Source organism: Homo sapiens, chromosome 3, assembly GCF_000001405.40.
Source record: "Homo sapiens chromosome 3, GRCh38.p14 Primary Assembly".
Lineage (NCBI taxonomy): Eukaryota > Metazoa > Chordata > Mammalia > Primates > Hominidae > Homo > Homo sapiens.
In genome coordinates this window covers 48,610,997-48,624,962 of record NC_000003.12, presented here as the reverse complement: position 1 = coordinate 48,624,962, position 13,966 = coordinate 48,610,997, and the positions used below count along the sequence as shown (strand labels likewise).

General features: G+C 49.6%; 1 protein-coding gene across 1 annotated transcript, besides 1 other annotated feature; it reads left to right on the top strand.

Annotated features, from left to right (window-relative positions):
• On the top strand, positions 3,194 to 4,204 carry TMEM89 (transmembrane protein 89). The gene is made up of 2 exons (NM_001008269.3): positions 3,194 to 3,500; positions 3,936 to 4,204. The coding sequence occupies exons 1-2, from the start codon at positions 3,207 to 3,209 to the stop codon at positions 4,119 to 4,121; spliced, it is 480 nt and encodes a 159-aa protein (NP_001008270.1). The 5' UTR covers positions 3,194 to 3,206; the 3' UTR covers positions 4,122 to 4,204.
• Positions 10,718 to 11,217: an enhancer, noted in NCBI's record as "H3K4me1 hESC enhancer chr3:48651179-48651678 (GRCh37/hg19 assembly coordinates)". NCBI's record gives its function as "activates a minimal SCP1, AML or CMV promoter by ChIP-STARR-seq in primed H9 embryonic stem cells {active_cell/tissue: H9 hESC(primed)}" and the evidence as "EXISTENCE:reporter gene assay evidence [ECO:0000049][PMID:30033119]".

Sequence of the window (13,966 nt, the reverse complement as noted above, 5' to 3'; positions counted from 1 at the left end):
GATGGCAGGGGAGGGACCGGGTCTTAGGATCTGTCTGGGCCTCAGTGTGCTGTTCATCGGTAGAGCGTGAGTGGCTACAATTCTTGCTTCAGGGGTTGCTCAGTGAATATTAAATGAGTAGATGCCGGGCCTATAATCCCAGCACTTTGGGAGGCCCGAGGCAGGTGAAACCCCATCTCTACTAAAAATACAAAAATGAGCTGGGCATGGTGCTGGACGCCTGTAATCCCAGCTACTGGGAAGGCTGAGGTGGGAGGATCAATTGAACCCAAGAGGCGGAGGTTGCAGTGAGCTGAAATCATGCTGGAGGGAGCTGCACTCCAGCTCGTGTGACAGAGCAAGACCCTGTCTCAAAAATAAATGAGGAAATGCCAGGAAATGCGAAAACAATGCTGGGCTCAGGTCCTCTCCTCCAAACATGCGAGCACTGCTGTTCATCAGGTGCTGAGCAGGTGCCAGGCTCTGTGCAGGGGTCTGGGCACCATCCTGAGCATGGACAGAGGCCACCCTGCCCTTCAAATCGCAGAGGTACCCTTGCCTGGCTCTGTTTTATCATGGTCTGTATTGGTGCCTGGCACCATCACCCCCCACCCCCCAACTCATGGCCTAGAAGTTCAGCCCCAGGAAATAAGAGCTTTTATTTACTCTGTCACACCACGTCCTAGCATCAGAAATGGTGCCTGGCAGCTGCTCAGTAAATATTGTTTGAATGAAGCTTATATGTTGGAGAGGGCAGTTTAGACCTCAAACAGGAAATTGCAGGTAGTTAGAAATGCTTTGAAGAAAATAAAGCAGGGTCACGTGATAGAAGAGGTCATATGTTACCCAAGATGCTCATGGGAGGGGGACTCAGCAGGTGACCCTGGAACTGAAATTCCAGCCATAAGAAAGAAGGTGACTTTCTAGGCCTGGGGAGCTGTGGTGCTGGCAGTGGGGGTATTGAGGCAGGCCTGTGGGAGGCAGGGGCAGCATGAGCTGAGGTGAGAGGGTGGGGGGACCTCACAGTCCAGGGGGAGACTTTGGGCTTTGTTCTGACAGCGGGGGAGCTGCCTGTGGATTTTGATCCCACATCTTTGAGCACTCACCCAACTGCGATGTGGACTGTGGGGCTGCGGTTGGGTGTGGGGGACCTGCGAGTTTGGTCAGCCTAGAGAGGTGATGCCCCTGGTGGAAAGCAAAAGGTTTTAGGGGCCGTGTGGATTTTTTTTTTTTTTCTTTTTAAATCGGCTCTTGCTCTGTTCCCCGGGCTGGAGTGCAGTGCTGTGATCACCACTCACTACAGCATTGACCTCCTGGGCTCAAGCGATCTTCCTGCCTCAGCCTCCTAAGTAGCTGGGACTACAGGTACATGCCACCACACCCAGCTAGTTCCCCCACCTCCCCCCACCCAAGACGGAGTCTCGCTCTGTCGCCCAGGCTGGAGTGCAATGGTACGATCTTGGCTCACTGCAACCTCCACCTCCTGGGTCCAAGTGATTCTCCCACCTCAGCCTCCTGAATAGCTGGGATTACAGGCACCCACCATCATGTCCAGCTAATTTTTGTATTTTTGTAGAGACGAAGTTTCACCATATTGGCCAGGCTGGTTTTGAACTCCTGACCTCAAGTGATCCTCCTGCCTTGGCCTCCCAAAGTGTTGGGATTACAGGGGTGAGCCACCGCACCCAGCCCCAGCTAGTTTTTGTTTGTTTGTATTTTGAGATGGAGTCTCGCTCTGTCGCCCAGGCCAGAGTGCAGTGACATGATCTCAACTCACTGCAAACTCTGCCTCCCGGGTTTAAGTGATTCTCCTGCCTCAGCTTCCCAAGTAGCTGGGACTACAGGGGTGTGCCAGCACGCCCAGCTAATTTTTTTTTTTTTTTGTATTTTTAGTAGAGACGGGGTTTCACCATGTTAGCCAGGATGGTCTCAATTTCCTGATGTCGTGATCCACCCACCTCAGCTTCCTGAAGTGCTGGGATTACAAGTGTGAGCCACCACAGCCGGCCTTTTTCTTTTTTTTGAGATGGAGTTTTGCTGTTGTTGCCCAGGCTGGAATGCAATGGCGCGATCTCGGCTCACCACAACCTCCACCTTCCAGGTTCAAGTGATTCCCCTGCCTCGGCCTGCTGAGTAGCTGGGATTACAGGCATGAACCACCACGCCTGGCTATTTTAGTAGAGGCAGGTCTCCATGTTGGTCAGGCTGGTCTCGAGCCCCCGACCTCGGGTGATCCATCTGCCTTGGCCTCCCAAAGTGCTGGGATTACAGGCCTGAGCCATGGTGCCCAGCCTAGTTAAAAAAAAAAAAAAAGTTTGTAAGGTCGGGTGCGGTGGCTCACGCCTGTAATCCCAGCACTTTGGGAGGCCGAGGCAGGTGGATCACGAGGTCAGAAGATTGAGACCATCCTGGCTAACACGGTGAAACCCCGTCTCTACTAAAAATACAAAAAATTAGCCGGGCGAGGTGGCGGGCGCCTGTAGTCCCAGCTACTCAGGAGGCTGAGGCAGGAGAATGGCGTGAACCCGGGAGGCAGAGCTTGCGGTGAGCGGAGATCGTGCCACTGCACTCCAGCCTGGGCGACAGAGCAAGACTCTGTCTCAAAAAAAAAAAAAGAATTTCTGTTAGTTACTGGTTTCTTTAACTGTTTGGGACTTAGTTTCTTTTTTTATCTTTTTTGAGAAAAAATCTCACTCTGTTGCCCAGGCTGGAGTGCAGTGGTGCAATCACAGCTCATTGCAGTCTTGACCTCCCAGGCTTAGGTGATCCTCCCACTTCAGCCTCCTGGGTAGCTGGGACAACAGGCATGTGCCACTATACCCAGCTAATTATTTGTATTTTTTATGGAGATGGGGTTTTGCCGTGATGCCCAGGCTGGTCTCAAACTTCTGGGCTCAAGCCATCCACCTGCCTCAACCTCCCAAAGTGCTGGGATTCCAGGTGTGTGCCACTACACCCAGCCTAGGGCCCAGCTTCAAAAGGAGGTGCTCCCTCAGTTTGGGGCCAGCTAGGCCCGCTGGGACAGCAGGACCCAGAACCCAGGTCTGCCGTTGTCCTCAAGCCCTGGACTCCAGCCCCCTGACCACAGCCAGTTTCTGGCCAGGCTGCTCATGAAAGGCCATGGGCCTGGCTGGAACCTGCTGCCTTAGAGCCAGGCCTCTTCCCGGGGGAGGGGCGTTTGCCCGTTGCCAGGTGCCCGGGTTCCGGCCCTGGCACTAGCGACGGCCATGCTGCATGTGCTGGCCTCGCTGCCTTTGCTGCTCCTGCTGGTGACGTCTGCCTCCACCCACGCCTGGTCGAGACCCCTCTGGTACCAGGTGGGGCTGGACTTGCAGCCCTGGGGGTGTCAGCCAAAGAGTGTGGAGGGCTGTAGGGGTGGCCTGAGCTGTCCTGGCTACTGGCTGGGCCCTGGAGCAAGCCGCATCTACCCCGTGGCTGCGGTCATGATCACCACCACGATGCTGATGATCTGCCGCAAGATACTGCAGGGGCGGCGGCGCTCACAGGCCACCAAGGGTGAGGTGAGCACAGCTCTTCTTTCTCCCCCACAGCCCCTGCCTCAATATACGTACGCTCAGTGAGCCCGTCTTCCACCCAACCCTGCCCCATGGGTCCACACTGGCCTGTGGACCTCCCACACCCCCACCCCCAGCTCACAGCCCATTGTCCCTGTGTCCACACACCTTCGTGGAACCCATGTCCACCACCCACAGCCAGCACCCTGCCCCCAACTCTCCCCTTTAGTACCCCTGCTCTCATCCAGCCCCTGTGGGCCCCATGACCACTGTAGCCCACAACAGACCCTCGGTGATCCTCTATCACCCTGAGTCTCCCTCCCATCCCATCTGGGCACTGCCCCACACCCTACTCCCTGCTCCCCAGCTCCATCACTGCCCCTTGTCACATCTCCCTCTCTGCCCACCATTCTCACTCCTGCCTCTTGGTCCTGGTCTCAGCATCCGCAGGTGACCACTGAGCCCTGCGGACCCTGGAAACGGCGGGCCCCAATCTCAGACCACACCCTGCTCCGTGGGGTCCTGCACATGCTGGATGCCCTCCTGGTCCACATCGAAGGCCACCTACGTCATCTAGCCACCCAGCGGCAAATCCAAATAAAGGGGACTTCCACCCAGAGTGGGTGACCGAACATGTGCCTCTCTTTGCCTGACAGCCTGAGGTCCTGGGCCAGGTCTGCTCTTTCCAGGCCTGTCTGGACCGTGTGTCCCTTTTCAGCTTTTAGAGTCAGCTGACTTGGTGTCCAGGACGGGCGGGCAGGTGGGGCATAGGCTGGCTCACACTGCTCCATTGCCCCCACCAACTGACCTTTCCTCCCTAAGGATCCCTCCTGGAGACACAACTGCTCCTCTGGGCTGGGCGTGGTGGCTCACACCCGTAATCCCAGCGCTTTGAGAGGCCGAGGTGGGAGGATCATTTGAGCTCAAGAGTTCGAGACCAGCCTGGGCAACATGGCAACCCCATCCCTACGAAAAATACAAACAAACAAACAAAAATTAGCTGAGCACACACATAGTGGTGTGTGCCTGTAGTACCAACTACTCAGGAAGCTGAGGTGGGAGGATGGCTTGAGCCTGGCAGGCAGTGGTTGCAGTGAGCCAAGATTGTGCCACTGTACTCCAGCCTGGGTGACAGAGCAAGAACTTGTCTCAAAACAAACAAAAACTGCTCCTCTGGCCTGACCAGTACCTGGGGACTCCCTGTGTGATGGGAGAGGACTTACCAACGGGACAGGCTTGGGTGGCTCAGGAAGGGTTGCCCAGAGGAGCCAACAACCTGGCTGAGCCCTGAGGGGAAATGGGTGTGAGGAAGGGAAATCCAGGTGGCGGTCTGGTTCTGAGCAAAAGCCACGTGCTGTGTTTGGTACTCTCTGCACATGGGCAAGGTGGGCAGTGCACATGATAAAGGGCCTCAAGTGCTGAGTGAGGGTACTGGGCCTCTCCAGTGCACAGGGTGAGCTGAGGAGGGACCTGGTCAGCTGAGAAGAGGGGTGGGGGCAGTGGTGAAGCTGGAACCAGATGCTGAGGATCTCTGATGGGGGACTGAGAGCCCCAAGCCCCCATCACTGTGGAGTCGCACACCCTTTGGCTTCACCCATCCTTGTCACCACCTCAGGGAGGTGACTTTAGTCCTGCCATCAAACAGCAGCTGGCTCTGGCTTCCTTCTTCCCAGGCCCTGCAAGGCCCTCCCTTGAGAGGCCACTGCTCTGTCTCCAATAACAGCCCCTCCCCAGATTCTTGGCTCCAGCAGCCCCAACCTGGGGTCAGGCAGGCCGCCCTAGCTGCCTTTGTTTCTATGGCAGTCTCAAACATGCTCTAGTGCCTCAGCCGCCCTTGCTCTAAGGACCCTGGAAAAGAAGGGACCCTCACTTTAATCCCTTTCTCTTTCTTTTTCCCCTTTTTAAAAATTGTTTCTTTTTGTTTTTTTGACGAACTCAAGCAATCCTCCTGCCTTGGCCTCCCAAGTAGCTGAGACTATAGGCATACATCACCATACCCAGCTAATTAAAAAATATATATATATTTGTAGAGATGGAGTCTATCTTGCCCAGGCTGGCTTCAACTGATCCTCTTGCCTCTGCCTCTCAAAGTGCTGGGATGACAGGTATGAGCCACAGTGCCTGTCCCAGGTTCCTGCTTTAGAAAAAGGCAACAACGTTATGAATTCAAAAATGGAAGTGAATTAAAATAATGAGAAAAGAAATGATGATACTTTTTTTTGAAAACTTTTTTTTTAAATTGACAAATACTACAATACTAAATCCAGAAAAATAACATAACTTGTGGCAACTTCCTGACATATTTCTAATACCTTGGTCCCCTACATGGTCTGGCTTCTTACTCTGAAGGCCTCTACAGAGGACAAGGATTTTGTGATTTTTGGGGGAGATATTTTCCATACAGAGAAAAGATACTTCAGTCTTCCTCCTAACATGGTTGAAATTTGTGTTTTAATTATTGGTAGTTTAGGAAAGTTAAACTTCCTAATCTGTTGTTGACGGTGCCATACAAATGTTCTGGATTGTTGTAAAATTTGAGAAACTGTCATCAGCCTTCTTTCATATAGGAACTATGAAATTTGGAAGAATTTTCCACAGACGAGGTTCTGGCTCCACGCATTTCAAACCTTGTTTTCCTTCCATGGCTCACAGTTTTCCCAGCACTGGGTGCCGTGGGGCATGTCCTTAAGGCAATAGGACTTTGCACTTCTGTCCTTACCCAGCAGGATTTTCCTACGAGCCACATTCCTAGTTTATTCTAGAACAAGACCAATAAACTAACTTTACACAAGGGTGGAGCAAACCACATAAATATGTCCCTCTTAACCTGGTGTAGAAAGTAAAAAAAAAAAAGTTCCTCTTCAAAGTTTCCCTTCTTGTTAAAGAATAAATTATAAGTGTTACAAATAATAGTTTCTTTTAAAGACTAACTTCCTTTAAGCCTCCTCACTTTGTGCTAATAACTCTTTGTTAAGCCCTATCTTATGTAGCTGTTAGATATAAAGAAATAAGTACATTCTGTGTCCTTGTACTTTAACCAAAATATTTGTGCTGGACATGCTCACAGGCACATTCCAGCTTGCAGCCTATGTGCCTTCCTTATTTCGAAATGTTATTACTTTTGGCTGGGTGCAGTGACTCACGCCTGTTATCCCAGCACTTTGGGAGGCTGAGGCGGGCAGATCATGAGGTCAGGAGATCAAGACCATCCTGGTTAACACAGTGAAACCCCGCCTCTACCAAAAATGCAAAAAAGATTAGCCAGGCATGGTGGTGGGTGCCTGTAGTCCCAGCTACTCCGGAAGCTGAGGCAGAAGAATGGCGTGAACCCATGGCAGAGCTTGCAGTGAGCCGAGATCATGCCATTGCACTCCAGCCTGGGCGACAGAGCAAGACTCCATCTCAAAAAAGAAAAAAAAGAAAAAAAGAAATGTTATTACTTTTCTAAGTCCTTCTAAGTCCTTTCGTAAGCAATTTCCTCTTTTCCTTTGTTCTCCCTTGCCTTTACCTATTTAAGAAAATTTTAAGTTATTAGCCGGTCAAGTTTAGCTTAGATTGTGCAGTCCGTCTCCAGCCAATGGAGGCAGGACACAGTAGCAAGGACAAGCTGCATAAAGAATAAAAATTGCTTCCCTCCTTTGTTCAAGTGTGCTCTCACCATTGTTTCATCTGCAAGGAGCACCCTTTCTGCAGAAAGTAAATTTGCCTTGCTGAGAAAACTTTTTGTCTCAATGCTAATTTTTCCTTGCGGTACTGAAGAACAGCATTCTGTTTCTGAATAAACATTTTACTTATAACACCCAGTGTGTCCCTGTGGTAGACTCAGAGATATGCCACACAAAGGCCAGCTGCTGCCAGCCACTCAGGGGACGGCCAGCAGACAGGTCCACTCTGGCTGTGGCAGAGCCCCTATAGCCAGACTTCTTCCTTGCCCAACCCTTTCCCTCCTTCCCTGAGGTGCTCATCTCAAGGGACTCTTGTAAATATCTTGTGCTCTGATCTTCCTCTTGGAGTTGGATTCCTAGAGAACCCAACCTGGGACCATCTTCAACCCACCTTCCCTTTGGCTGGACCCCGAAAATGCCACAGCCTCTCTGATGTCCTCCAAGTGAGGGGAAGTGGGCTGGAGTCAAAAGAGAGACAGGGTCTCACTATGTTGCCCTGGTCTCAAACTCCTGAACTCAAATGACTCTCCCACCTCAGCCTCCCAAAGTTCTGAGATCATAGGCATGAGCCACTGCACCTGGCTGAAAAAGAGATTGTGATGGGAAGTATCCCTCAGGAAGCCCAGGCATTGGAATTATTAATCAAAAACAATAAATCAACTGTCTTAGTATGTTCAATGAACTAAGGGAAGCCATGGACAAAGAACTAAAGGAAATTAGGAAAATTATGTCTGAACATAAAGAATACTAATAAAGAGGGCCGGGCGCGGTGGCTCATGCCTGTAATCCCAGCACTTTGGGAGGCCTAGGTGGGTGGATCACGAGGTCAGGAGATCAAGACCATCCTGGCTAACACAGTGAAACCCCATCTCTACTAAAAATACAAAAAATTAGCCGGGCACAGTGGTGGGCACCTGTAGTCCCAGCTACTCGGGAGGCTGAGGCAGGAGAATGGCATGAACTGGGGAGGCAGAGCTTGCAGCGAGCCAAGAGTGCCACTGCACTGTGGCCTGGGTGAAAGAGCAAGACTCTGTCTCAAAAAAAAAAAAAAAAAAAAAATTAATACAGAGAAAAATTTTAAAGGGACCAAACAAATTCTGAACCTGAAAGCAAATCATTTGTCAGTAATCTCATTAAATATAAATAGATTAAACTCTCCTATTAATAAATGAATTTTCAGATTGGTTTTTTAAAAAAGGTTAATCTATATGTTGTCTATCAGAGACTCACTTCAGATATAAGAACATAAAAACACCAGAAGTAAAAGGATGGAAGAAATATTTTATGGCCTGGCATGGTGGCTTACACCTGTAATCCCAGCACTTTGGGAGGCTGAGGCAGGTGGATTGCTTAAAGAGTTTGAGACCAGCCTGGGCAACAAGGCAAAACCCCATTTCTACAAAAAACACAAAAAATTAGCTGGGCATGGTGGTGTGCACCTTTAGTCCCAGCTACCCCGGAGGCTGAGGTGGGAGGATCACCTGATCTCAGGAAGGTCAAAGCTGCAGTGAGTCATGATCACACCACTGCACTCTAGCCTGGGGCAACAGAGTGAGACTCTGTTTCAAGAAAGAAAAAAAGAAAAAGAAAAAGAAAAAAAAATACTTCATGCAAATAGCAACCAGAAGAGAGTCAAGGTGGCTTTATTATTGTCAGGTATAGTAGCCTCTAAATCAAAAAGATTACAAGAGACAAAGAAGGACGTTATCTATTGATAAAAATTGCTTTTTTTTTTTGAGACGGAGTCTCACTTTGTCGCCTAGGCAGGAGTGCAGTGGCGCAATCTCGGCTCACTGCAACCTCTGCCTCCTGGGTTCATGCCATTCTCCAGCCTCGGCTTCCTGAGTAGCCGGGACTACAGGTGTCTGCCACCATACCCAGCTAATTTTTTTTGTACTTTTTTTTTTTTTTTTTTTTTTTTGAGACGGAGTCTCGCTCTGTCGCCCAGGCTGGAGTGCAGTGGCGGGATCTCGGCTCACTGCAAGCTCTGCCTCCCGGGTTCACGCCATTCTCCTGCCTCAGCCTCCCAAGTAGCTGGGACTACAGGCGCCCGCCACTACGCCCGGCTAATTTTTTGTATTTTTAGTAGAGACGGGGTTTCACCGTTTTAGCCGGGATGGTCTCGATCTCCTGACCTCGTGATCCGCCCGCCTCGGCCTCCCAAAGTGCTGGGATTACAGGCGTGAGCCACCGCGCCCGGCATTTTTTTTGTATTTTTAGTAGAGACGGGGTTTCACTGTGTTAGCCAGGATGGTCTCTGTCTCCTGACCTCGTGATCTTCCTGCCTTGGCCTCCCAAAGTGCTGGGATTACAGGCGTAAGCCACTGCGCCCAGCCTTTTTTTTTTTTTGAGACAGAGTTTCGCTCTTGTTGCCCAGGCTGGAGTGCAATGGCATGATCTTGGCTCACCACAGCCTCTGCCTCCCGGGTTCAAGCAATTCTCCTGCCTCAGCCTCCTGAGTAGCTGGGATTACAGGCATGCGCCACCATGCCCTACTAATTTTGTATTTTTAGTAGAGACGGGGTTTATCCATGTTGGTCAGGCTGGTCTTGAACTCCTGACCTGAGGTGATCCACCCACCTAATAAAAGTTTCAAAACAAGGCAATATGACAATTAGAAACATTTATGTGCCTAACGGAGCCCCAAAAATAATGAAACAAAAATTATCAGAATTGAAAGTAGTCAGCTCTACAATTATAGTTCATATTTCAACCCCCCACTTTCAATAATGAATAGAACAGGCAGGCGTGGTGGCTCACGCCTGTAATCCCAGGACTTTGGGAGGCTGAGGTGGGCGGATCACCTGAGGTCAGGAGTTCGAGACCAGCCTGGTCAAGATGGTGAAACCTTGTCTCTACTAAAAATACAAAAACTATCTGTGCATGGAGACAGGCCCCTGTAATCCCAGCTACTTGGGAGGCTGAGGCATGAGACTTGCTTGAACCAGGAGGTGGAGGTTGCAGTGAGCCTAGATCACACCACTGCACTCCATCCAACCTGAGCAACAAGAGCAAACTCCGTCTCAAAAAAAAAAAAAAAAAAAAAGCTGCGTGCAGTGGCTCATGCCTGTAATCCCAGCACTTTGTGAGACCAAGGCAGGAGAATCACTTGAGCCCAGGAGTTCGAGACCAAGCTGGGTAATGTGGCAAAATCCCATCTCTATTTAAAAAAATTAAAAGTAAATTTAAAAAATAAAAAGAAACATCTAGAAGAATAAATAGGTGAATGTATCAAACAGAGTAAGAAGGGTAAGTTGAGTGCCAGAGCCCTCCCTACAGAACACAGCCTGCATGGACCTGGTACAAGTTTGAGAATCTATGGGATGATAGAGGGAACAACAGAGATGGGTAGGGAAACAGGGCCTCATCAAGAAACGGTGTTACAAAATTTAGTTTGCCTTTTAGGGGGAGAGAGGATATTTTGACCTTACCTCACTCTATATACCAAGTAAATTCCAGAGAATCAATGAGTCACCAAACACTGTTGCAAAATTATTGCAATGATCACTGCTTGCACTTAACCTTTTAGTAATATTTCCTGTTTTGACCAACCCCTTGAAACGCATCGTTCCCAACCAGCATCAGACTTCCTAGTTGTCTCCTACTTCAATGGCCTTCCCTTCTTAGCCCAGGGTAGCAGTGGGTATAGGTAGGGAGGCTAGGTGACTGGGTTTAGGAATATTTCATTTGGGAGGCTGAGGTGGGAGGATCACTTGAGCCTAGGAGTTCAAGACCAGACTGGGGAATATAGTGAGACCCCATCTCTAGAAAAATGTTTTTAAAAATTAGCTGGGTGTGATGGTGCATGCCTATATAGTTCCAGCTACTCAGGAGGCTGGAGTGGGAAGATGGCTTGAGCTGGAAGGTTGAGGCTGCAGTGAGCCATGATCACACCACTGCATTCCAGCCTGAGTGACAGAAAGCCAGACCCTCTCAAAAAAAAAAAAGAAAGAGAGAGAAAGGAAGGGAGGAAGGAAGGAAGGAAAGGAAGGAGGGAGGGAAGGAAGGAAGGAAGGAAAGGAAGCAGGCAGGCCGGGTGCGGTGGCTCACACCTGTAATCCCAGCACTTTGGGAGGCCAAGGTGGGTGGATCACCTGAGGTTGGGAGTTTGAGACCAGCCTGACTAACATGGAGAAACCCCATCTCTACTAAAAATACAAAATTAGCTAGGCGTGATGGCACATGCCTGTAGTCCCAGCTACTCGGGAGACTGAGGCATGAGCATCGCTTGAACCCGGGAGGCAGAGGTTGCTGATAAGATTGCGCCATTGCACTCCAACCTGGGCAACAAGAGCGAAACTCGGTCTCAAAAATAAAAAAGGTCGGGCGTGGTAGCTCATGCCTGTAATCCCAGCACTTTGGCAGATCACGAGGTCAAGAGATCGAGACCATCCTGGCCAACATGGTGAAATCCCATCTCTACTAAAACTACAAAAATTAGCTGGGTGTGGTGGCACATGCCTTAGTCCCAGCTACTTGGGAGCCTGAGGCAGGAGAATCGCTTGAACCCAGGAGGCGGATGTTGCAGTGAGCCAAGATCATGCCACTGCACTCCAGCCTGGCAACAGAGCGAGACTCCATCTCAAAAAAAAAAAAAAAAGAGATCACGTCCAGGGGCGGTGGCTCACATCTGTAGTCCCAGCACTTTGGGAGGCCAAGGCAGGAGGCTCACTTGAGCCTGGAGTTTGAGACCAGCCTGGGCCACATAGTGAAATCCTGTCTCTACAAAAAATATAAAAGTTAGCTGGGTATGATGGTGTGCACCTGTGTTCCCAGCTACTCAGGAGCCTGAGGTAGAAGGATCACTTGAGCCAGGGCATGGTGGCGTGTGGCGTCCCAGCTACTTGGAAGGCTGAGGCAGGAGAATTGCTTGAATCCAGGAGGCTGAGGTTGCAGTGAGCCAAGATCACGCCACTGCACTTCAGCCTGGGTGACAGAATGAGACTCTGTCAAAAATTAGCGATGTTGGCATGTGCCTGCAGTTCCAGCTACTCGGGAGGCCGAGGCAGGAGAATTGCTTGAACCTGGGAGATGGAGGTTGCAGTGAGCAGAGATCCTGCCACTGCACTCCAGCCTGGGTGACAGAATGAGACTCTGTCTCAAAAAAGAAAGAAAAAAATAGAGATCATAAGACTGAGAGAATGAACCCTTTGTAGCAATAAGATACCAAAGTATAAACAAGACATTAAGGCCATGCCAGGCAAGAGTTAAGCCGTTCACCAAAGAATAAACTATGTTCTAACTGCTGCAAGGTTTTTCTTTTTCTCCAGCAGCTAAACAAGCACTGGCCTTGAGATAAGCAATATAGAAACAATTGCAGTTCATCCATCACCAGACACTGACCCCACAAGCCATAACTATAGCTTTGATTGCACAAGAGATGGATTTTGGTGACTTTTTCCTAATAAGAGACCACTGACCAGGGACTGGCTTCAGTTGGTTTATGGAACCTGTGCACTGAGTGCTTTTGTATCCTTCATTTTGACATATGGTGCTAATTGTATTTCTTTTCTTTTTTTTTTTTTTTTTTGAGATGGAGTCTCCCTCTGTAGCCCAGGCTGGAGTGCAGTGGTGCGATCTTGGCTCACTGCAACCTCCGCTTCCCGGTTTCAAGTGATTCTCCTTCCTCACCCTCCTGAGTAGCTGGGACTACAGGCATACGCCACCACGCCCAGCTAATTTTTGTATTTTTAGTAGAGACGGGGTTTTACTGTGTTGGCCAGGATGGTCTTGATCTTCTGACCTCGTGAGCCACCCACCTCGGCTTCCCAAAGTGCTGAGATTATAGGCGTGAGCCACCGCACCCGGCCTGTAATGTATTTCAATGTTAAGTCTCCACCCCAAAGTGAACATGGGTCATATACAACACACATGTTTATTCAGTATACTTGCATTAGGACCCCCTTCATGAGTATCTATAGCTCTTCCTGTAACCTGTTGAATATGGTATTTTTTGTTTTTGTTTTTTCTTTTTTGAGACAGAGTCTCGCTCTGTCACCCAGGCTGGAGTGCAGTGGCGCGATCTCGGCTCACTGCAACCTCCGCCTCCCAGGTTCAAGCGATTCTTCTGCCTCAGCTTCCCGAGTAGCTGGGATTATAGGCACATGCCATCATGCCTGGCAGATTTTTTGTATTTTTAGTAGAGACGGGGTTTCACCATGTTAGCCAGGATGGTCTCAATCTCCTGACCTTGTGATCCGCCCACCTCGGCCTCCCAAAGTTTGGGATTACAGGTGTGAGCCACCGTGCCCGGCCGAATATGTATGTTTAGCCAAGCCATTCGACATAAAGCTCCTGCCTCTTTTTAAGGGTCTGTCTCTGGTTTTGACCAGAAGCCCACCTCCCAGCCTGCAGGTTGTAACCCTTTATAAGAAATAAAGTCAGCCTGGCACGGTGGCTCATGACTGTAATCCCAGCACTTTGGGAGGCTGAGGTAGGAGGATCACTTGAGCTCAGGAGTTTAAGATCAGCCTGGGCAACATAATGAGACCCCCGTCTCCACAAAAAATAAAAAAAAATTAGCTGGGTGTGGTGTGAGAGCCTGTGGTCATGGCATCTGGCATGATTTTTATAAAGATAGTTTTATTTTAAGTATAAGAGTAGTTTTTGGGTAAGGTGTGGTGGCTCACCCCTGTAATCCTAGCACTTTGGGAGGCTGAGGTGGGTGGATTGCTTGAGGCCAGGAGTTTGATATCAGCCTGGCCAACATGGTAAAAAATGCAATGATCCTAGCCCTTGCCTCTTCCTGTACTTAAGATACTGTCTGACAGGATTAATGATTATGCTTCTGTGACCTATAAACAGATG

What these genes read in the sequence shown, in the direction of transcription:
- TMEM89 (NM_001008269.3), top strand. Translation starts at nt 3,207, where the DNA reads ATGCTGCATGTGCTGGCCTCGCTGCCTTTGCTGCTCCTGCTGGTGACG. An exon ending in CACAGGCCACCAAGGGTGAG is followed by an intron (nt 3,501 to 3,935) that starts GTGAGCACAGCT and finishes TCCTGGTCTCAG; the next exon opens with CATCCGCAGGTGACCACTGA.